Below are 24061 nucleotides of genomic sequence, written 5' to 3'. Positions count from 1 at the left end.
GTTGGGTTTTGTTATCTAGGTAATGCTGGCTACAAAATGAGTAGGTAAGTGTTTCCTTGTCTTTTGTTTTCTGGAAGGGTTCTTGTAGAATTGGGCTTGCAGATTCCTTTCACAGAAGGTTTTTTTTTAAACTACAAATTCAATCTCTTTAGTAATTATAGGGTTATTCTGGTTATCTGTTTCACCCTGGGCGAGTTCTGGCAATTTGTAGCTTTTGAGGAATTGGTCAGTTTTATCTGAGTTGTTATATGTATAGATTAGAATTGTTCATAATATTTCTATGGTGTTTCTTTTAATGTTCATGTGTTCTGTAGTGATAACTTCCCCTCTTTCATTAGTAATATTGATAATTTATGCCCTCTTTTTTTTGTTGCTCTGTTTTGCTAGAGGTTTATCAATTTTATTGATCTTTTCAAAGAACTAGCTTTTAGTTTCATTGACTTCTCTTTCTTTTAGTGAATTCTAGTTTCAATGCATTATGGTCAGATAACATACTCTGTATGATTTTAATTCTTTTGAATTTGTTACTGTTTGTTTTATGGCCCAAGCTCTGGTCTTTGTTGGTACATGTTTCATGTGCACCTAAAAAGAATGTACATTTCATTATTGTTGGTAGAGTGTTCCATAGATGTCAATTAGCTCTGGTTGGTTGATAGTGTTGCTCAGTCCTTCCACTACCTTATCACTACCTTTTCCCCCACCCTCTTCAGTGAGGTCATTTCATACATATATAATACTGTTGGATTGCTTTATCACATTCTGCTTTTCATTCTGGGATCCTCTGATTTTTTTTTTAATTGCATGCATTAAGGTTCACTCTTTGTGGCTGGTGTGGTGGCTCACTCCTGTAGTCCCGAAACTTAGAGAAGCAGGGGTGGGACGATTGCTTGAGCCCAGGAGTTCGAGACCAGCCTGGACAACAATAATGAGACCCTGTCTGTACAAAATACATAAATAAAAAGTTAAAAGATTAAAAAAATAAAGATTCACTCTTTGTGTTGTAAAGTTCTGTCGGTGTTGACAAACACATAGTGTCATGTTTCCACCATTACAGAATCATACAGAATATTTCTCTGCCCTAAAAATTGCCCCGTGCTTCACCTACTCAGTTCACTGCCTGCTTTCCCCAAACTCTGGCAACCACTGATCATTTTCCTGTTTCTATAGTTCTGTTTTATCTAGAAGGTCATAAAATTGGAGTCATACAGTATGTAGCCTTTTCACACTGGCTTTTTTCACTTAGCATTATGCATTTAAGGTTCCCCCATGTCTTTTGATGGCTTGATACTTTGTTCTTTTTATTGCTGAACAATATTCCATTTATGAAGTATTGCAGTTTATTTATGCATTCACCTATTGAAGGGCATCATCATTGCTTCCAGCTTTTGGCAATCAAGAATAAAGCTGTAAACATTTGGGTGCAGGTTTTGTGTGGACATAAATTTTCAACTCAATTGAGCAAACACCTAGCAGTGCAATTATTGGATCGTATGGTAAGACTGATTAGCTTTATAAGAAACTGCCAGGTTTCTCACATCGTGACTGCTTGTGCATTCCCATCAGCAATGATGAGAGTTCCTGCTGCCTCTGCATCCTTGTTAGCATTTTTTTTTCTTTTTTTTTTTTTTTGAGATGGAGTCTCACTCTGTTGCCCAGGCTGGAGTGCAATGGTGCGATTTCAGCACACTGCAACCTCCGCCTCCCAGGTTCAACCAATTCTCCTGCCTCAGCCTCCTGAGTAGCTGGGACTACAGGTGTGTGCCACCACGCCCAGATCATTTTTGTACTTTTAGTAGAGACAGGGTTTCGCCATGTTAGCCAGGCTGGTCTCGAACTCCTGACCTCAGATGATCCACCCACCTCGGCCTCCCAAAGTGCTGGGATTACGGGTGTGAGCCACTGCACCCGGCCCTTGTCAGCATTTGATGTTGTCAGTTGTTTTTTATTTTAACTATTCTGGTAGGTATGTAGTGTTATTTTGTTGTTTTAATTTGTAATTTCCGAATAGATTTTCCAACAAAAGGTGTTGTTGAACACCTTTTCATATGCTTATTTACCATCTGTGTATCTTCTTTGGTAAGATTTCTGTTCAGAGCTTTTGATTGTTTTTGATTAAGCTGTTGTTTTGTTACTGAGTTTTATGAGTTTTGTTTGTTTGTTTGTTTGAGACAGGGTTTTGCTCCGTCACCCAGGCTGGAGTGCAGTAGTGTGATCACAGTTCACTGCAGCCATGAACTCCTGGGCACAAGCGATCCTTCCCACCTCAGCCTCCTGAGTAGCCAGGAATACAGGTGTGCACCAGCCTGCCTGGCAGTTTTTGTATTTTTCTTGTAGAGATGAGCTTTTGCCATGTTGCCCAGGCTGGTCTTGAACTACTGGGCTGAAGTGATCTGCCCACCTCAGCCTTCCACATCCTGTTGGGATTACAGGTGTGAGTCACCGTGCCCAGTGTTCTTTATATAATTTGTATACAAGTACTTCATCAGATACGTGTTTTGAAAATATTTTCTGTCACTCAGTTGCCTGTCTTTTCATTCACTTAATAGTATCTTTTGTGGGGCAGTTAATTTTGATAAAATCTAACTATTTTTTTTTTTATTTCATGGGTTGTGCTTTCCAAACCCATTCATTTGGTTTTGCTTTGGGCTGAGGATATTAAACAGCCTTTTCTAGGAACTTTCAGTTTCAACCCTTTCATTTATTTATTTTTGAGACGGAGTCTCACTCTGTTACCCAGGCTGGAGTGCAGTGGCATGATCTCGGCTCAGTGCAACCTCTGGCTCCTGAATTTAAAAGATTCACCTGCCTCAGCCTCCCAATTAGCTGGCATTACAGGCATGCACCACCACACCCAGTTAATTTTTTTTGTATTTTAGTAGAGACTGGGTTTCACCATGTTGGCCAGGCTGGTCTTGAACTCCTGACCTCAAGTGATCTGCCTGCCTCGGCCTCCCAACGTGCTGGGATTACAGGCGTGAGCCACTGCACCTGGCCAAGTTTCAACCCTTTTAGATTTAAGAAACTTCTCTTACATTTGCATAGCTAGGACCCTGGTCTTTATAGACTGAAGATGTGTTCTGGTTCTTTAAATTGGGTGAAATGAAGCAGTGATTCGGACCCACTGAAGATCAGAGATGTTTCAATAAACGTGCCTACTGGATTTCTCTGTATGCCCACAGGATGAACCATAGGAAGACAGGGGTGGAGAGTTCTGAGATCACAAGGTCATAGAATTTTATTTGTGCATTAGTGTGGACAAAGATTTTGGCAGTTGAAATGGGAAAAGAGGGTGGATATGAGCGTGATTATGAGGAAGGAAATGGCAGGGTTTGAAATTAGAGTTAGTGTGAAGGTAATGATATTGGTTATCTCTAGATTGTGTGGCTAAGAAAAGGCAGAGTGCTAGGAGTTCAAGTGGAAGGAAGTAGAGAGATGTACTTACATTCATGGTAGCATTGGTCTTCAAGATTATATCAGAATGGCAAGGGTATCTCATCAGCTGTGGTATTGGAGTAGATAATACCCTTCTTAGGTATGGAACTGTTAAAAGCATAATTACAAAGATACAGGCATTAGTGTACTTAAAGCACTGGCATGGAGTCACCTTTGACTGGGCCTAGGGAAATGGTTTATAGTAATCTCAGTTTTTGTGTATCCCATTAATTTGGATTTTATGTACCCTGAATTATAAGATTGCTTGAAATGAAACTACTTAATGCCTTAATTCTCCCAGTAGCTGACTTGTAGACAAGGATTTAAATGCAAGTATTTTATTTTGGAGGTTATCCTTGGAAAAGCCAGTGGGGGAGTGGGAAGTGAGATAGGAGAGGGAAGATAGCAAAGATTGCAAATACGAGATTTGTTTTCAAGCCAGGTACTGATTTTTTTCACAGTATTCCCACTGAGAAACTCCAGGAGCGAATGTAAAACTTGTGTCTTAGAGTTATAGTCCTTCAGGGGAAAGGTAGTTGGAGTATTTATATACCATCTCTTTCAGTTATTGGTTAAGATTGTTTTCAGGAGGTGGTAGATCTACCTGACAGGCGTGTATGTCAGGCGTGCCATGCCGGGAACAAAATGGACTCGAGGTTAGAGAAAGCTCTCAGGTGCTGTCAGGCCAGTGTACCTGGTAGGGGATAGGGGATATACAGACTCTCTTTTGACTCCTTCCTTAATACCTTGCCATGCAGTTCCGGGATTTTCAATTTATTTCCTTTAAGACATCATTGGAAACATTTATTTCCACCTTAAATGAGCCATTCTAGTAGCATGTTAGGACTGGCTCCAGATGCCCTTTTTGGAACATTAAATTGTGAGTCATGGAAGAGTGGCCCATATCAACAGACGTTTCCTTGCCAGTCTTATACTTGACCACCAAGTTCAGTAGTCTCAAGATCCAGGTATGTTCTTCCAGTTCTTGCCAGTACATCTCATCATATCATACTGTGTTGGTGAATCAATGCTTTCATCAAAAGGAAGGCCAGTACCTCCCTATTCTGACAATGCCTGGTTGTTAGCCTAGAAGCAATGAGGGAGGTAGGCACATATCTCCAGGAGGGTAGGCATCTTTGGAGGCATGCATCCCAGCTAAGACCTCTGCATAGTTTTTAGTCAGGGGAGACCGCCCTCTTGTAGTAAGAGGAAGAAAGCCGCTTCTGGCCTAGAAGGTTCAGAAGAATCTTGTCAGGACTGTGAATTCAATCTTTGTAATTTGCCTGCTTTCACAGTCGAAACTTGGGTCTAATTTTTAGCACAGTCTGTCTTCAGGCAAAGAAATGCAGATGCTGGCAACTAGAAACTGGACAGTTAGACCTTAGCGTAGCCTGGTGATAGAATGAAGGCAGGGTCTGCTGCACCTGTTCAGTCAACAGATGATGTCAGTGTTATGGCTCCTGTTGAGTAACAGACTTTTCTTAGCATCAATTTGGTGTGCTGGTCCATTCTAACACTTAGGGAACACTGACTGTGTGCTGGGAACTGTTCTAGGCATTTGCTGTGAGTCCTCACAACAATCCATGAGGAAGGTACTCGTGATCATCACAGTTTTACACATGATGAATCCGAGATTCAGAAGGATTAAGTAATTTTTCCAGGGTCCAAGTGTTGGAGCTAGTGTTTGAAATTTAGTTTAATTCACTAAAACACTCATTCTTTTGTTATTCCACATTGCTTCCCAAAACGTATCCCCATTATGTCCATTTGACAAATGATGAATTTGAGATGCAGAAATTGAGTGACAAGATGAGTTTCAAGGCTAGTTAAAGAAAACTATTGTTAGAATTCAGGATGTCAACTGTTTTGCTGTTGAATATCATATTGAACAAGTGGCTAAATTTAATACTGGCTGTTTTCGAATGTTTACCGTTTTTAAAATTTCGTTACGTGGTCTGTCTCAGGGTTTCTCAGCCTCAGCACTATGGCTGTTTTGGACTGGATGATTCTTTATTGTGAATACTCTCCTGTGCATTGTAGAATGTTTAGCAGTGTCCCTGACCTCTGTTTACTAGATGCCAGTAGCACCCTCCCAGTTGTGACAACCAAAACTGACTGTAGATATTGCTAAATGTCCCATGGGGGCAAAATTGTCCCTGGTTGAGAACCAGGCCAATCTCTAAAGGTGGTTGTGTTATGACAGAGCTCACCTAGAGTAATTCAGAAGTTTGTTTTGTGAGCAGGGAGTTATATTGCTTTAAAGTGGAAGGAGTACAGTGTGGTGGAAAGAACACGAGCTTTGGAATCTCTTGGCCCTGCTGCTTATCAGTCCCTGTAGCCTTGATTAAGTAATTTGTCTTTTTTGAACTTTTGTTTCCTCATTTGTAAAATGGGCATTATATCTACCGGGTAGGGTTTTGGTGATTAAGCTGGAGGATGATACATGTGGAAGGATGAGGGGAAAAAAGGAGAAAAATGATCTGTAGTAGAAGAAAGTGAAGGAAAGATACAGAAGGCAGTTATCAAGAGCGGGAGTAAAAGGCACATTGGGAAGGTCTAAGACAGCAGGTGAACGAACGGCATCTTCCCTCTTCCCACACTCCAGTCCCAGGTCACTGAGTCTGGAAGAAAGCTCTGAACAGGGCTGAGCGTGGTGGCTCATGCCTGTAATCTCAGCACTTTGGGAGGCTGAGGCAGGCAGATCACTTGAGACTGGGAGTTCGAGACCAGCCTGGCTAACATGGTGAAACCCCATCTCTACTAAAAATACAAAAATTAGCCAGGCGTGGTGGTGCGTGCCTGTAATCCCAGCTACTCAGGAGGCTGAGGCACAAGAATTGCTTGAACCCGGGAGTCGGAGGTTGCAGCAAGCTGAGATCGCACCACTGCACTCCAGCCTGGACTACAGAGTGAGACTGTCAAAAAAAAAAAAAAAAAAGAAAGAAAGAAAGAAAGAAAGAAAGAAAGAAAGAAAGCAAGCTCTGAACAGTTTTCTTTTCCTTCTTTCTTTTTTTTTTTTTTAAAAAAAAAACGTTTAATTGGACTTACAGTGCCACATGGCTGAAGAGGCCTCAGAATCATGGTGGGAGGTGAAAGGCACTTTTTACATGGCAGCAGCAAGAGAAAATGTAGAAAAAGCAAAAGCGGAAACCCCTGATAAACCCATCAGATTTCACGAGACTTATTAACTGTCACGAGAATAGCACGGGAAAGACCGGCCCCCATGATTCAATTACCTCTCTCCCACAACACATGGACATTCTGGGAGATACAATTCAAGTTGAGAATTGGATGGGGACACAGCCAAACCGTATCAGGGATTAATACCTGATTTCTTTAATATGAAATTGAATATTCATGTATATTTTATGTATAAGCTAACTGTTCTTATGTCCTTTATTACAGCCTTTCATTACATTTATTTTCTAAATTATATTTAGTAACATGTTTATCCATATAAAACAGTAGAGATATGGGAAGTTACCTCAACTAATCCAGGACTCTGCAGAGAAAATAATCAAAGTTAGAAGTAAGTCAGCCCCATATTTTTAGCACAGTAAGCAAGTGTATGAGCTCATACAAGTATTGATTTACTAATATTTTAGAAGCTATCAAATAAAAGGATGGCAGTTTATCTTTTTCTGAATCAGGCTTCCAGTTTATTTTTACTGATACTGTCTTAAAATGTGCATTTGCAACTTGGTTTCCGGTCCCTCTTCACAATAGAATGATTAGCACTTGATTGAATTGTCGAATTATACAGTGGTTTATTGTATCTTTCTTTGTCTCTAGGATGATTGAGGAAAGTGGGAACAAGCGGAAGACCATGGCAGAGAAGAGGCAGCTGTTCATAGAAATGCGTGAGTCTTGAGTCCTTGTTCATATGTGCGGGAATGTTTGTGTGGTTTTTTTTTTTTTTTTAGATCAAGTCATAGCTTTAATCAGTTACAACTTTTATGTTATAAGCTTTGCAGAGGGAAGAATGGGAGTTAAAGAATCATGGAGTTGAAGGACCCCAAGCCAAAGCATATATTTGAATAGAATTGACTTGCTTTCTTAGACAAGGCCATAAATAAATAGGCAGAAATGTTACCTAGAATGTCTGTGATTTTGTACCATGCCAGTCAATTTAGATCTCTTGCTGTAACTCCATTGTTACCATGAACTTTGCAGGTGGTGACTAATGATTAATACATTATATAAATTACCTTCCACTAGATGACAGTTCTGAGACAGAGAGGACTCAGTGTTAGGGCAACACCTAGAGCTGTTGGAAAACTAAAAAGAGTGAATGTGTATTTTGATATATTTTTAACTTTAAATATTCTGTTAAAATTTACATTGTTGTATACAGTTCAAACAGAGAGAAGAAGATGGCTGAGAGAAGTTGGGTGGTTCCCAATCCTTGCAGGATTGTTTTGCTCTGTGACTACTTGTCTATGTGACCATGACCATGTGACCTTGACCAACTCAAGGTTGCATTTGCTGGACCTCAAATTCCTTTGTCATGAAATACGGGTAATTGGTCTGGACCAGAGATTAGGAAACCTTTCAAAAGTACTGTACTCTTTTTTTCCCCCAGTGAAATCTTACAAGGACCCTTAACATAAGAGTATGATAAGATTGGTAGTGCTTGGTTGAAGCAGGAGAGGGGAGCCAGCCTGGGATAGCCTCTGAGGTCCTTGCAGAATTCTAGAATTCTGCATATCGCAATATGAAAATCAGTGGGTAAAAGTCTCAGAAGACCCAACTCTCGACATATTTGACACCTTTAGGGTCTTGGTAATGGTAAGCAGAGTTTGACTCAGCTCAGCCATGTGTTGTCCTGTCAGTCATAGGCTGGATAACTATTTGTTAGGGGTGATAAAGAAGAAATTTTGGCATTGGATAGGCAGTCCAACTGGGTGATCATTAAGGACTTTTGTAGTTCGGAGCTTCTAATGGCTAGTAATCCAAGCCAGACACCTTGGAGTCACTTCCCTCCACCTCACCTTCTACCTCCAAAGAAATCAGAAGGCATCTGAGTTTTACTATGTACATGAGTTTGAATCTGTTCGTCACGCCACAGCAGCTTTGAGTCCAGCTTTGCAGTTAGACTGCTTAGTTTGGATCTTGGCTGCCTCACTTCCTGACTGAATAACCTTAGGCAAGTTAACTTAATCTCTCTGGGCCTCTGTTTCCTCATCCATAAAGCAGGAATGGCATTGACTTCATAGAATTGTTGTGAAGATTAAATGAGATAATGTGAATAAAGCACTTGGCACAGTGCCTGGCACTCACATACTTAAGTATGAAGTAAGTAGTACATACTTAATATGGATGGTTGTGTTTATTACTAATTTTTTTTAATCACTGGTACTTTTCTGAACCAAAGCAATAATTTCCTGATCCCTTCTTCCAGTCTTGACCCTCTCAAATCTGCTGTCTATGATCAGCTACCAGATTGAACTATTTAAATCTGTGCTACTTATTATTATTATTTTTTTTTTTTTTGAGAGGGAGTCTCACTCAGCCGCCCAGGCGGGAGTGCAGTGGCGCCATCTCGGCTGACTGCAACCTCCACCTCCTGGGTTCAAGTGATTCTCATGCTTCAGCCTCGTGAGTAGCTGGGATTACAGGTGCCTGCCACCGCGCCTGGCTAATTTTTGTATTTTTAGTAGAGATGGGGTTTCACCATGTTGGCCGGGCTGGTCTCAAACTCCTGACCTCAAGTGATCCGCCTGTCTTGGCCTCCCAAAATGCTGGGATTACAGGCCTGAGCCACTGTGCCTGGCCTAAATCTGTGCTACTTCTTTGCTTACATTCCTTTACTTGCTTCTCATCACTTTAATGGGAAAGACCCCACTCCTAAGAATGCCAAACAAGGCCCTTCTGGCCCCTTTTTTGCTCTGCCCACTAGTTCCCAATTTTTCCATCACATGCCTTGCGTGTTACTTCCCAGCAATACTGAATTGGCTTTCCTGCAGATCATGTGGTTTCATGCCTTTCCGCCTTTGCACAATACTGTTGCCTCCACCACCCGTCATACTGCTTCTGCCTACCCTTCAAAACTCAGCATAGGGGTCATCTTTTCCTTTCAACTTTTAGTGCATTTATTGAGGATCTGCTATGCTCCAGGCACTATTCTGGGTGCTAGGGCTACAGAGGAGAACAAAACACAGTCCCTGACTTCACTTCATGAAACTTCCATGTTAGTAAAGGGAAGCAGACAAAATAGGAAACCAAATACACAAACACAGTAATTCCTGATACTAAGAAGAGGCTGGGGTGCCTTAAGTAATACGCATGCAGGCGTTGATGGGGTAGAGATCTGAAGTAGTCCTGCCAAGAACTGGGTTTACTTCTTTGTGAATGTTACTACTCTTACACAGAAACCTCATATGAATTATCATCCTCTGACTTAAGGATAACAGTCAGTCTGGGAGACGTTTGGTAAGTATGACTTCTTGAGTCTCCTATATTTCTTCACAGGAAGAATTGCATGGGTGACTATAGTGTCTGCTGCTGGAAGCCCCACCCCCTCATTTCCAGCAACGTCAACCAGAAACTCCAGCATAACTACTTTCTATGGATGCCAGAATCACCTTTTTCCAGCCATTATTCAGTTGTATCATTTAGTATGTTGATTTTAGTATGTCAGTTTTGAATCCAGTACTCTTTCTCAACTCTTATTAGTCTTAATGGTTATAGATTCCTACTTAGGTAGGTAACTATACAATTTTTTTCTTTTTCTTTGAGACTGTGTCTTGCTCTGTCACTCAGGCTGGAGTGCAGTGGTATGATCACGGCTCACTGCAGACTCAACCTCCAGGGCTCAATTGATCCTCCCGCCTCAGCCTTCTGAGTATCTGGGACTACAGGCGTGTGCCAGCAGGCCTGGCTAATTTTCTTGTTTTTCGTAGTGATGGGTTCACACTATGGTGCCCAGGCTGGCTGGTCTCGAACTCCTGGGCTCAAGTGATCCTCCCACCTCTACCTCCCAAAACGCTGGGATTACAGGTATGAACTACCGTGCCTGGCCAGTAACTATACCATTTTTAAAGAAAGACAATTTTGACTCTTCCTTTTGTAATTGTAATCCTTATACCTTTTTCTTGACCTAGTGTACTGGTTAGGGCCGCAGAGGTTATATTGAAAAGTAGGAAGGATGGCCAGGTGTGGTGGCTCACGCCTATAATGCCAGCACTTTCGGAGGCCAAGGCAGGCGGGTCGTGAGATCAGGAGATTGAGACCATCCTGGCTAACATGGTGAAACCCCGTCTCTACTAAAAATACAAAAAAATTAGCTGGGCGTGCTGGCAGGCACCTGTAGTCCCAGCTACTTGGGAGGCTGAGGCAGGAGAATGGCGTGAACCTGGGAGGCGGAGCTTGCAGTGAGCCAAGATCGCGCCACTGCACTCCAGCCTGGGCGACAGAGCGAGACTCCGTCTCAAAAAAAAAAAAAAAAAAAAAAAAAAAAAGGTAGGAAGGATAGCGTCTTGTTTTTGATTTTCATGGGAATATTTCTAATATTTCTATTCTTTCTATATTTCTAATATTTCACTGTTAAGAGTGATGATTGGTACAGGTTAACCAGATAAAGGTGAAAGAACTGATATGTCCTAATTTGCCAGGAATCATTATCATTATTTTCTTAAGTCATAACTGAATATTGAATTTTATCAGATGTTTTCTGCTTCCCTTGAGATGAATGTCTTTCCTCTTTACTCTGTTAATATAGTGCTGGGGCCAGCCATCTTTTTCTTAAAGAGCCAGAAAGTAAATATTTTAGGATTTGCAGGCTGTATGATGAGGTCTTTGTCACACTACTCAACTCTGCCATTGTAGCATAAAAGCAGTCATAATAATTTAATAATTTAAATAGTTTTTTTTTAACCTTAGTTTTCAGAATATTTCCTTTTGGAGCTCTTTTTAAAAAAATAATTGTAACTTTTAGATTCAGGGGGTACATGTGCAGGTTTGTTACATAGTTTGTATTTTTCAACCTTGTGTTACCTTTACTATTATGACTTTATATAATATCCTTAAGCCTTTATGTTTTTAGACAGTAGTTTTTACATTTTCTGTTATGAACACAGCGATGAAATTAGCTTATTCTTTCTTTGCTTAATATTTTATCTTGTAGACTCTAAGCATTATGAGAATAAGTATCACATCTGTTTATCATGATGGTGCCTCGATAAATATTTATTAAAAGAAGAATGGAATATATTACATAGAAATAAATGGGTAGTTTATGATTCTTACATGATATAAAATCACCAAGAAAAGTGAAAGGTGACAGGTGAGAAGAGTAATCCTCAACTCTGGTGCCAAAATGAAAGCTCTCCAGTTGATTGTACAAAGTGCTTGATACCAGGCCTCCATGCTCAGAGATTCTGATTTTATTTTGTCTTTTCTAAAGTTTGCCAATTTTATTGGACTGACTTTTGGCTTTATTGGTCCTCTTTGTGTATCTTTGTTCTCTGCCTCATTTGTGCTGTGTATTTTCCTCTTCCTATTTAGGCAATTCTGTTATTTTTCTAACAACTTATGTTGGGTTACTAAGGCCATTTGTTTTCAGCCTTTTTTTTCTTATGTAAGCATTTAAGAATAAACTTTCCTGTGATTTTTTTTTTTGCATCCCAAGTGTTCTGATATTTACTATTTTTCATAATCAGTTCTCTATTTCCTCTAATTTTTATTATTAATTACTTAAAAATATCTTTTTATTGATCAGTTGGTTGGTTGATTGGCTGATTGATAGAGACAGGGTATTGCTCTGTTGCCCAGGCTGGTCTTGAACTCCAAGGCTCAAGCGATCCTCCCACCTCGGCTTCCCAAAGTGCTGGGATTACAAGCGTGGGCCACCGCACCTGGCTGGAGTATCTTTTTAAATTTGAAAGTAAATGTTTTAGTTAAAAAAACCTGTATAGCTTAATTGGGTTTTGGGTCAGGAAATGTGAGAAGATCTAGAATCTTTGAATTTGTTAATTTATGTTTTGTGTTTTTCCAAATATTCCATGAGTACTTGAAAATAATGTGTATGATTTATGCATTATTTAGATCAAGCTTTTTGCATATTTCATTAAAATCTTTTTTGTCCTTGGTGATTTGATTGCTTGATCTTAATCACTGAAAGATGTTAAATATTTCTGCTTTGATCAAGAGTATTAATTTTTTCCCTGTACTTCTGTTAGCTTTTAGAACTTTAATTCTTGGATGCATGTACCTTTAAAATGTTATGTCTATCTAGGAAAGTGAATCCTTTGTCATTGTGTAGTTACCCTCTTTTTCTAGTAATGCTTTTGATGCTTTGAAGTCTATTTTGTAGCATATTGATAGAGCTAATGCTGGCTTTCTTTCAGTTAGCATACTTAGTACAGTATGCATCTTTTCATTCTTTTACTTAAATTTCTTAATTCTTATGTTTTTGTCTCTTGTAAGTAGCATAAGCTAGAATATTTAGAAAAAAACTAATATGGCAGTCTTTGCCTTGTCACTGAAGAGTTTATTTTGTCTAGCCTTTTTAATGAATACACATATATTTCATATTTTCTGTTGACAAAAAGAGTCAAATTCTGTAAAATATTTGAAGAGATTTATTCGAAGCTAAATATGAGTGACCATGGCCCGTGACACAGCCCTCAGGAGGTCCTGAGAACATGTGCCCAAGGTAGTCGGGATGCAGCTTGGTTTTATACATCTTAAGGAGGCATGAGACTAAAATCACATACATTTAAGAAACATATTGGTTTGGTCCAGAAAGGCAGAACAACTTGAAGGGATGAGGTGGGGGGCCTTCTAGCTTATAGGTAGATTTAAAAGTATTCTGGTTAAAAATTGATTGAGTTTATCCAAAGACCTGGGATCAATAGAAAGGAATGTCTGGGTTGCAATAAGAGGTTGTGGAGACTAGCGTTTTCTCATACAGATGAAGCCTCCAGGTAGCAGGCTGAAGAGAGAATAGGTTGTAATAAGTTTCTTGTATCTTTTTTTTTTTGAGATGGAGTCTCAGTCTGTCACCCAGGCTGGAGTGCAATGGCATGATCTCGGCTCACTGCAATCTCCGCCTCCCTGGTTCAAGCGATTCTCCTGTCTCAGCCTCCCAAGTAGCTGGGATTACAGGCGCCTGCCACTACGCCTGGCTAATTTTTTTTTAGTAGAGATGGGGTTTCACCATGTTGGTCAGGCTGGTCTCAAACTCCTGACCTCAGGTGATCCGCCCACCTCGACCTCCCAAAGTGTTGGGATTACAGGCGTGAGCCACCATGCCTGGCCAATATGTTTCTTATTAGGCTTAAAGTCTGTGTTGTTATTAATGCCCGAGAGGTACGGTGAGGCATGTTTGATCCCAACTTCCTATCATGGCCTGAAACAGTCTCTCAGGTTAAATTTTAAAAGAGCCCTGGCTGAGAAGGAAGTCCATTCAGATGGTTGGGGGGCCTTAGAGTTATTTTTGGTTTACATTTCCATCATATTTTGTGCTTCAATTTTGTCCTTTCTTTCCCCTTCTTAGAGGAACTGAGCTTGCTTTCTTCCTTCCATCCCATTGTTTCCCTCTACTTGGTTGTGAGTTGTATATTTTTCTTTTCTTTACCCTAGAAATATTAACATCAATTAAAATATAGCTTATCAATATTTGTAACTTTTTTCAAATATGAGGGTATTGGAATATTTTAGGGTACCCCCTTAATGAAATTTATACCATTTTTAGTATTATCTTTTTTTAAGGACCAGGTGCAGTGGCTCATGCCTGTAATTCCAGCACTTTGGGAGGCTGAGGCAGGTGGATTGCTTGAGCCTAGGAGTTTGAGACCAGCCTGGGCAACATGGTGAAACCTTGTCTCTAGAAAAATACAAAAATTAGCCAGGTGTGGTGGCATGTTTTTGTAGTCCCAGCTACTAAGGAGGCTGAGAGGTGGAAGGATTGCTTGAGCCTGGGAAGTCAACGTTACAGTGAGCTGAGATTGTGAAACTGCACTTCAATGCCTGGGTGAGTGAGACCCTGTTAAAAAAAAAATCTCTTTTTTACCCCACAGATTAGATTTTGTTATTATTTTTTGTAATCCAGTCCATTTAGTTATTACTTTCTTTTTTTTTCTTTTTTTTTTTTTGTGATGGAGTCTTGCTCTGTCACCCAGGCTGGAGTGCAATGGCTCAATCTCAGCTCAAGCAGTTCTCATGCCTCACCCTCTCAAGTAGCTGGGATTACAGGCGTGCACCACCACACCCAGCTAATTTTTGTATTTCTAGTAGTGACGGGGTTTTGCCCAGTTGGCCAGCCAGGTCTCAAACTCCTGAACTCAAGTGATCTGCCTGCCTCAGCCTCCCAACGTGCTGGGATTACAGGCATGAGCCACTGCACCCAGCCATTTAGTTACCACTTTCTTTGCTTGCTATTATTCTTATTTTTGTTAAATTCAGATAAATTTAAGTCTAAATCAAGGTGGACAAAGGCTTGTGTCCCCAGCATTTCCCTTTGTGGGATGCTTTCTCTTTTTTTCCTAGTTCACCCACTGAGAGAGTCATCCTTACAGTATTCAGTGGTCTTGGTTGTATTTGTATCTTCCTCTCTGGTGGGACCTCTGGCCTCATCTCTGTCCCCCAGGGTTTTTATTCTTATTGCAAAGAAAAAGATAAGGAAGTCATTTGTGTTAGTTATTTGAACTAATAATCTGTTGAAAAATTTCTTATTTCTCATTTTTTTATTTTTGATGCAGAATCTCGCTTTGTCACCCAGGCTGGAGTGCAGTGGCACAATCTCGGCCCACTGAAGCCTCCGCCTTCGCCTCCAGGGTTCAAGTCATTATCCTGTCTCAGCCTCTGGAGTAGCTGGGATTTCAGGTGCTCACCACCATGCCCAGCTAATTTTTGTATTTTTAGTAGGGATAGGGTTTCACCATGTTGGCCAGGCTGTCTCAAACTCCTGATCAGGTGATTCAGCTGCCTTGGGCTCCCAAAGTGCTGGGATTACAGGCATGAACAACCACACCCAGCCAAAAATTTTTTCAATCATAAATGGTTGTGAAAAATTTCAGACAATTTAGCATTATATTATGCTTACATCTTCTAGCTCTATATCTCTTCTCCCTTCTTCCTTTTTTCCTCCTCTCCCCATTTGCATTGCATTTTAAACACAATACACTTACTTCCTGTATCTTCCATGGGTTTGTTACAGGAAAGGGGTCCCGATCCAGATCCCAAGAGAAGGCTCTTGGATCTCACGCAAGAAAGAATTCTCAGTGCGTCCGTAAAGTGAAAGCAAGCTTATTAAGAAAGTAGAGGAATAAAAGAATGGCTACTCCATAGACAGAGTAGCCACAAGGGCTGCTGGTTGCCCATTTTTATGGTTATTTCTTAATGATATGCTAAACAAGAGGTGGATTATTCATGCCTCCCCTTTTTAGACCATCTAGGGTAACTTCCTGATGTTGTCATGGCATCTGAAAACTGTCATGGCCCTGGTGGGAGTATAGCAGTGAGGACCACCAGAGGTTACTCTTGTCACCATCTTGGTTTTGGTGGGTTTTAGGTGGCTTCTTTACTGCAACCCGTTTTATCAGCAAGGTCTTTATGACCTGTATCTTGGGCTGACCTCCTATCTCATCCTGTGACTTACAATGCCTTAACTGTCTAGGAATGCAGCCCAGTTGGTCTTGGCCTCATTTTACCAAGCCCCTAGGTAGGGTGGGGTTGCTCTGGTTCAAATACCTCTGACAGATTAGATTGGCTGAGCACCTCCCTCAAAACCCATGGCTTCCTGGAACGCAGTGTGGAGTCCTCTGCCCTACTTGAATAATACTAAAAGCATGAGCGTGTAATACACAGAATACTAAAAGGAGGTGGCTTCCCCTCTACTTTGATTGTCCTCCTCTGTCAGCTTTTCTTTGCTAATGTCCAAAATTCTATCTACAGTTTGTCTAACTTTTTGATTTTGTATGTTTTTAGGAGAAAGTAGATCAGAGTTTTTTGCACTAGCAACACAACTTCCCAATTTTAACGTGTTTATTCACTCAATAACTATTTCAGGTGCTAGTTTTATTGTGTTCTAGTTAGCATTGAACAGTGAACAGAAACAACAACAAATGGTCTTTGCCTTCATGTAACTTCGTTTCCTGGAAATGACAGTGCAGTAGGAGCCACATGGGGGAAGCACTGGGGTTCAGAAGGGATCTGGGAGAAGCCATGCCCAGGATGAGTTGGTCTGAGGAGGTGAAGGAAGGGCTGGGGCGGTAGCACTTGTGAAGGCCCCGAGATGAGAGGACTGGGTGCAGTTGGGTGATTCTGTGCAGTCCAGACTGATTGGAGTTGGGTGTGAGGTGAAATTTGAAGAGTGTGCCTGAGCCATACCTTTTAGTTGAGCTGGGTAGTACTGTGTTGTGTTTCTTGAACCTAACTTGATTATAAAACTCTACTGGGGCCGGGCGCGGTGGCTCACACCTGTAATCCCAGCACTTTGCGAGGCTGAGGTGGGCACGATTGCTTGAGGTCAGGAGTTTGAGACCAGCCTGACCAACATGGTGAAACCCCGTCTCTACTAAAAATACAAAATTAGTCAGGCATGGTGGCACACGCCTGTAGTCCCAGCTACTCAGGAGGCTGAGGCAGGAGAATTGCTTGAACCTGGGAGGCAGAAGTTGCAGTGAGCTGAGATCGCGCCACTGCACTCTAGCCTGGGTGACAGAGCGAGACTCTATCTCAAAACAAAAACAAAACCCAAAAACACTCTACTGGGGCACTTGTTAAAAATGAAGATTCCAGGCCAGGCATGGTGGCTCATGCCTATAATCTCAGCACTTTGGAAGGGCAAGGGAGGCAAATCCATTGAGCTCGGGAGTTCAAGACCAGCCTGGGCAACATAGTGAAACCCCATCTCTGTAAAAAATACAAAAAATTAGCTGGGTGTGGTGGCACACACCTGTGGTCCCAGCTACTCAGGAGGCTGAGGTGAATCACCTGAGCCCGAGAGGTCAAGGCTGCAGTGAACCGAGATTGCACCACTGCATTCCAGCTTGGGCAACATAGTGAGACCCTGTCTAAAAAAAAAAAAATAGTGTCCCAGGGTTTCTCACTGGAGATTTTGTTTCAGGAAGTTGATCTGCAGTGGGACCTGGAATTTTATACATTGAGCATAGTGCCAGGCAATGCTTATGATCAGATGATACTAATTAACCCCTGGCATCATATGATCTTCACTGTGATTGGAGTTAGAAGATTTAGCTTCATATCCTGCCTTCTCCTATCAACACACACACATACACATATACACACACACGTGCACAGGCATGCCAAATTGGCTGTTACTTATCTCACTTGTATTATTTATATCTTTTTACTCATAAAAAGACTTTGGGCTGGGTGTGGTGGCTCATGCCTGTAATCCCAGCACTTTGGGAGGCTGAGGCGGGTGGATCATGAGGTCAGGAGATCGAGATCATCCTGGCTAACATGGTGAAACTCTGTCTCTACTAAAAATACAAAAAATTAGTTGGGCGTGGTTGTGGGTGCCTGTTGTCCCAGCTACTCGGGAGGCTGAGGCAGGAGAATGGCGTGAACCCGGGAGGCAGAGCTTGCAGTAAGCCGAGACCGTGCTACTGCACTCCAGCCTGGGTGACAGAGCGAGACTCCGTCCAAACAAACAAAAAAGACTTTGAAGTTGATCTGGCTTCTACATTTGTCATTTTTCTAAAACTCTTCCCTTGTCTGGAAATCAAAGGTGTTTGCAGTGCACTAAAATCTCATCTGAGGTTGCATTTTTCTTCAACATGTTAACAGAGTAGAACTGTATCCTTTTTCACGAAAGCACAGTTACACAAAATATAGGAAGCTGTCAGTGGGAATCAGCTTTGGGCCAATATCTCAAATAAGAAATATTTGGAAGTAGTTGTGGAGTTTTGCAAGGAGTAGTTGCCAGGCATGGTGGGCTTATGCCTGTAATTCCAGCTACTCAGGATGCTGAAGTGGGAGGGTCACTTGAGCTCAGGAGCTTGAGACCATCCTGGGCAAAAAAATAAAATAAAATAAAATATCCTTTGAGGTAATGGATGAGGACTTTCCTTCTAAGAAACCAGGAAAGATGATTGCTCCAGAAAAAGGCAGACATATGGGAGGTTTTAGAATCTGATTAGTAGAATGTTGGCACAATATGATTTTAATAAGATTCTAAGGCTATTGTTTGCATCTAACTCTTTACAAATTATTTTGGGATTTGGAGTGTTATTAGATTTCTAAAATGCTGTTGTGGCACGGCTCCCTAGAGTTTCTGAATTGTGTGCCATCCTACTAATCTCTGTACCCTTTTTCCACTGGGCTTTATGGTGATGCATGTTCATAAGGAACAATGGCAAAGGAAAGCAGAGTGACCCTTGATTCGTGACTGTACCTGAAACTTCAGTGTAGAGATCTCTGGCAAACTTGGCTGGAGCGTATGGAGCTTATCATTTTCCGAAAGTATTATAGTTATCTTTGGACTTTTGTGATACTTGCTGTATTTTATCTTTTGTGGTACCCAAATCTTGGCTCACTGCAAGCTCCGCCTCCCGGGTTCGTGCCATTCTCCTGCCTCAGCCTCCCGAGTAGCTGGGACTACAGGCGCCCACCACCTCACCCGGCTAATTTTTTGTATTTTTAGTAGAGACGGGGTTTCACCATGTTAGTCAGGATGGTCTTGATCTCCTGACCTTGTGATCCGCCCGCCTCAGCCTCCCAAAGTGCTGGGATTACAGGCATGAGCCACCGCGCCTGGCCAAAAAAAGGCTGGTTTTAAACTGCTGGGCTCAACTGATCCTCCTACCTCAGCCCCCCAAAGTACTGAGATTACAGGTGTGAGCTACTGCATCTGGACTTTGAATTATATTTTAATAAAGCTTTTATATTTAAAAAGAGAAAGTGGGACTGTATAATACAGAGAGAGAGAGGGATAAATATTTTGTGAGAACCAGGTATCCCCTGAGGAAATAATTTTAATCATGACATCAGGAGGAAGGTTGATTGAAGTCAGACTAAGATAAACCTTCACTTTTTGTTCAGTATACAAAAACCAAAAACCTGGAAAAATCCTTCCTTTAACCCCCTCCACCCCCCGCCTCCATACCGTGTAATGAAGACAAATGAGAGATGCCTATAAATACTGATACAAGATAATTTGTGCCAGTTCTCTGTCCCCTTATTGAGTCAAAACTTGCTGCCAAATTTTATAAAGGAAGGATAGGTGAAATCTCACATTGGGGGCCAATCCTATCTACAGTGGTCTTAAAATTCAAGGAGACTTCATTTGCAGCAATTAAAATGAGAACAAAATGTGATTTATAGACTCATGTATAATTTTAGGCTTTGTTCTAGTTACTCTGGCCATATATCGCTTACCCCTCAAACAGTCATTCTATTTATGCGTTTTGTGGGTCTAGACTCAGAACAGCGTTCAGTGCTGACATCTTGACTTTGCTTCATGATGCCTGAGGTCTCAGCAGAAGACTCAAAGGCTTAGGGCTTGAATCATTTGAAGGCTCGCTCGCCTGCGCGTTTGGCAGTCGATGCTGGTTTGGTTGGTGGACTCAGTTCTTCTTCGTACGATCTTCTCACTGTGGCCTCTCCACATCAGTCTGGGCTTTCTCACGGTATGGCATCTGGGCTCCCAGCACAAGCATCCCGGAAGAGCAAGAGCAGAGCAAGCTATGCCGTCTGTTATCATCTATCTCCAGAAGTCCCGCACTGTACTTCTGCCGCATTCTGTGCCGCGAGGCCGTCACAGTGTCCTGGTCAGATTCACATGGAAGGAAAGAATCTCTAGACCTTGATGGAGAGGGACAACATACTAGAAGTACATAAAATACTGTTCTGAAAATATTGTTGTGGCTTTTTTTTTTTTTTGGAAAATACAGGCTGCCACAGACTGGAAGGGGACCTTTCAGGCAACCGGTCCGTTCCCTCATTTCCCAAATGAGGACACTTATGTGCAGAGGCACGCCGCATGGCCACAGCCACGGGGCATGGCCACAGTCGTATTCTGTGGTTGGTCAGGCTGGGACAGGAATGCAGCTTTTCTGACTCTAGGCTTGGGTCTTTCTCACGATGCTGCCCTACTCCCCTTTCCTAATCATAGTTCACTCACTCACCTCATAAGTGTTCCTCCCCCTGGAGTTTTCTCCGATGAGCAGACAGGATATCAGGAGCTAGACTAGCAGAGTTCCTGCACATACTGGAGATGCACGTGTTTCCTATCCTTTTCTCCCTCTGTTGTTGTTTTAATTGACCCACCGTTTTTAAGAAGTCCTAGCTGACTGGTATACTATGACAATACAATAGAATGGAGTCATTTCCTAGCGTTTGGAAACTAAATGGTAAATCTAGTTGAGCATTTCTGTTTGCCTTTTTTCAGGTGCTCAGAATTTTGATGTCATACGACTATCAACTTACAGAACAGCCTGCAAATTACGATTTGTACAAAAACGATGCAACCGTGAGTCATTTCTACTCATTTCTGTGATAGCTGGATAGAGTTCTCAATATTAGAAAAGACTTTAACATCTTTTAGTTGTATTGTAATGTTAATTGAATTATTTTTGTCTTAAGTATTTATTAGTATGTAAGCTTTGTAATGGAAGAACTTGTCATTTTACTTCTTTGTCCTTCAAAATGTTTAACAAACTCAGTCATGTAACTAGTTTTGAGGCTGTTGTAGTATTAATGTTCTTTAAATGGGAGAATGGATTTCTCTGTCACTTTTATTAAGGAAATGCTTTATGTAAAATTAATACAATTTATCAGCTGCTGGAGGAAAAGAAAAACAATGTTTTTGATAAAGGTATAATTGGAATTGATTTTCTTCATTAAGCTTAATGTAACATGAATCAACCTTTTCTATAAATAATTGCTACCATGTGGATCATAAAATAAAGTGTGTGTGTGTCTGTATATATGTATATGTATGTCTGTGTGTGTATATACTTAATCTTTCTTCTCTTTATTTCCATGAAGATGAACTAGCTCGTGACAGAATTATTGTACTTTTCTCGTGTTTGTGTGTATCAGTGGAAAAAGTATTTTATACAATGGAAAGAGCATTAACCTTAGAATTGAAAAACCTTGGTTTTAGTTTTTATTTATTTATTTTTTATTATACTTTAAGTTCTAGGGTACATGTGCACAACGTGCAGGTTTGTTACATATGTATACATGTGCCATGTTGGTGTGCTGCACCCATTAACTCGTCATTTACATTAGGTATATCTCCTAATGCTATCCCTCCCCCTCCTGCCATCCCATGACAGGCCCCGGTGTGTGATATTCCCCTTCCTGTGTCCAAGTGTTCTCATTGTTCAATTCCCACCAGTGAGTGAGAACATGTGGTGTTCACTTTTCTGTCCTTGCGATAGTTTGCTGAGAATGATGACTTCCAGCTTCATCCATGTCCCTACAAAGGACATGAACTCATCCTTTTTTATGGCTGCATAGTATTCCATGGTGTATATGTGCCACATTTTCTTAATCCAGTCTATCATTGATGGGCATTTGAGTTGGTTCCAAGTCTTTGCTGTTGTGAATAGTGCTGCAATAAACATACGTGTGCATGTGTCTTTATAGCAGCCTGATTTATAATCCTTTGGGTATATACCCAGTAATGGGATTGCTGGGTCAAATGGTATTTCTAGTTCTAGATCCTTGAGGAATCGCCACACTGTCTTCCACAATGGTTGAACTAGTTTACAGTCCCACCAGCAGCGTAAAAGTGTTCCTATTTCTCCACATCCTCTCCAGCACCTGTTGTTTCCTGACTTTTTAATGATTGCCATTCTAACTGGCATGAGATGGTATCTCATTGTGGTTTTGATTTGCATTTCTCTCATGGCCAGTGATGATGAGCATTTTTTCATGTGTCTGTTGGCTGCATAAATGTTTTCTTTTGAGAAGTGTCTGTTCATATCCTTCGCCCACTTTTTGATGGGGTTGTTTGATTTTTTCTTGTAAATTTGTTTAAGTTCTTTGTAGATTCTGGATATTAGCCCTTTGTCAGATGGGTAGGTGGCAAAAATTTTCTCCCATTCCGTAGATTGCCTGTTCACTCTGATGGTAGCTTCTTTTGCTGTGCAGAAGCTCTTTAGTTTAATTAGATCCCATTTGTCAATTTTGGATTTTGTTGCCATTGCTTTTGGTGTTTTAGACATGAAGTTCTTGCCCATGCCTGTGTCCTGAATGGTATTGCCTAGGTTTTCTTCTAGGGTTTTTATGGTTTTAGGTCTAACATTTAAGTCTTTAATCCATCTTGAATTAATTTTTGTATAAGGTGTAAGGAAGGGATCCAGTTTCAGCTTTTGACATATGGCTAACCAGTTTTCCCAGTACCATTTATTAAATAGGGAATCCTTTCCCCATTTCTTGTTTTCGTCAGGTTTGTCAAAGATCAGATGGTTGTAGATGTGTGCTATTATTTCTGAGGGCTCTGTTAGACCTGGTTTTGCCATTTATTATAAACAAATAATCTTGGGCAAATCACGTTACAGCTGATAAATTCTACTCTACTTTAAGTCTTACTCACAAATCTTAACTTAAAATTCTCTCCGAAGAGTTTATCATGCCATCCTAGATCGAAGTGATGTTTCTTTCTCCAGTGGTTTCTCAAAGCATTATTTTTTACATTGTGAGTTGTTACCCATTAATGCTTCATGAAATCATTTTGATGGGCTGTAGCCAGAATTAAAAACATATAATAGGAAAAAAAAGGAAGAAAAATAAAATATTAGAATGCAACTTATGTGGTAAGGCTAAATGTGTTCTGATATCTGGATGTATCTATGTGTTTGTGTGTGTACATGATGATTTAAATATATTTCTGTGATGATTTAAATATATTTATATATCTAGATATATGTATGTGTTTGTGTGTATATGTGTGTATGTGATGATTTAAATATATTTCTGTGCTCGTGGTCAAAAAGTTCGAAAACCACTGCCTTAGAACAACTCTCGTTTTTATAATTCCTGCCATAATTATTCTTGGGAAACAGTAGTCTACGTGTGGAGTGTTGAGAGCCTGACTAGGCTAGTGGCATTAGTAATATAAAGTAAAAGATGCATTGTTCTAAAGGTTTTATTTTGTTACCTTTCACGTAGGATTCTAGAGTTGATCTGAAAAAAATTTTGAGACTGTACAGGATAAGTAGTAGTCAGTTTTCAAGTTTTTCCATATGTATGTTCAGTTGTTCCTTTACTTTTTGTTGAAAGGGTCAATAAACAGAAGAAAATAAACAATTTTCTTCAATGCTGAAGAGTCTTCTCATGCTTATTCATTGAATATGAATATATTCATGAATCTGTACAAGTTTTTCCATATGTATTTTCAGTTGTTCCTTCACTTTTTATTGAAAGGGTCACTAAACAGTCAATAAACAGAAGAAAATAAACAATTTTCTTTACTGCTAAAGAGTCTTCCCATATTCATTCATTGAATATGAACATATTCATGAATCTGTACAAGAATGTTCATGGCAGTGTCCATATATGAGAAGGTCTGCTTTTTGACCCTCTTGTGTTCCCTGGTCTGTTTGTCTATCCTTCTACCAATACCAGACTGTTCTAATACTGCACTTTCTTGTAGCAGTAACCACTATTAGAATTTAGTAAATCTAGATGTCAGGCAAGGCAAGTCTTC

The 24061-nt window shown here is 40.7% G+C and overlaps 1 protein-coding gene across 31 annotated transcripts in view, besides 2 other annotated features; it reads left to right on the top strand.

Moving 5' to 3' along the window:
- Nucleotides 1-24061, top strand: part of DTNB (dystrobrevin beta) — a 296335-nt gene that overhangs the window by 13692 nt on the left and 258582 nt on the right. For 30 of the 31 annotated variants that reach the window (NR_147180.2, NM_001320935.2, NM_001351393.2 and 27 more), the window contains exons 2-3: nt 7225-7292; nt 20792-20872. Coding sequence is in view for 22 of the 31 variants with exons in the window: in NM_183361.3 (NP_899205.1) it covers nt 7226-7292; nt 20792-20872 (148 nt within the window). In the remaining 9 variants the exon portion in view is untranslated. Of the gene's footprint in view, nt 1-7224; nt 7293-9663; nt 9865-20791; nt 20873-24061 lie in introns of those variants that run through there. The other variant, NM_001256308.2, reaches the window with a different exon arrangement.
- Nucleotides 9601-9745: an enhancer, noted in NCBI's record as "145 bp 2:25873082 sequence used in MPRA reporter constructs". NCBI's record gives its function as "activates a minimal TATA-containing promoter with rs17047116 allelic activity by MPRAs in C283T melanocytes {active_cell/tissue: C283T}" and the evidence as "EXISTENCE:reporter gene assay evidence [ECO:0000049][PMID:36423637]".
- Nucleotide 9673: a transcriptional cis regulatory region, noted in NCBI's record as "rs17047116 or 2:25873082 MPRA-significant variant associated with a GWAS melanoma risk locus at 2p23.3". NCBI's record gives its function as "allelic transcriptional activity by MPRAs in C283T melanocytes {active_cell/tissue: C283T}" and the evidence as "EXISTENCE:reporter gene assay evidence [ECO:0000049][PMID:36423637]".

The sequence above is a fragment of the Homo sapiens genome, chromosome 2 (genome assembly GCF_000001405.40).
Source record: "Homo sapiens chromosome 2, GRCh38.p14 Primary Assembly".
NCBI classification, from domain to species: Eukaryota; Metazoa; Chordata; class Mammalia; order Primates; family Hominidae; genus Homo; species Homo sapiens.
Note: the sequence above shows the minus strand (reverse complement) of the source record. Positions and strands in the feature narration are given on the sequence as shown.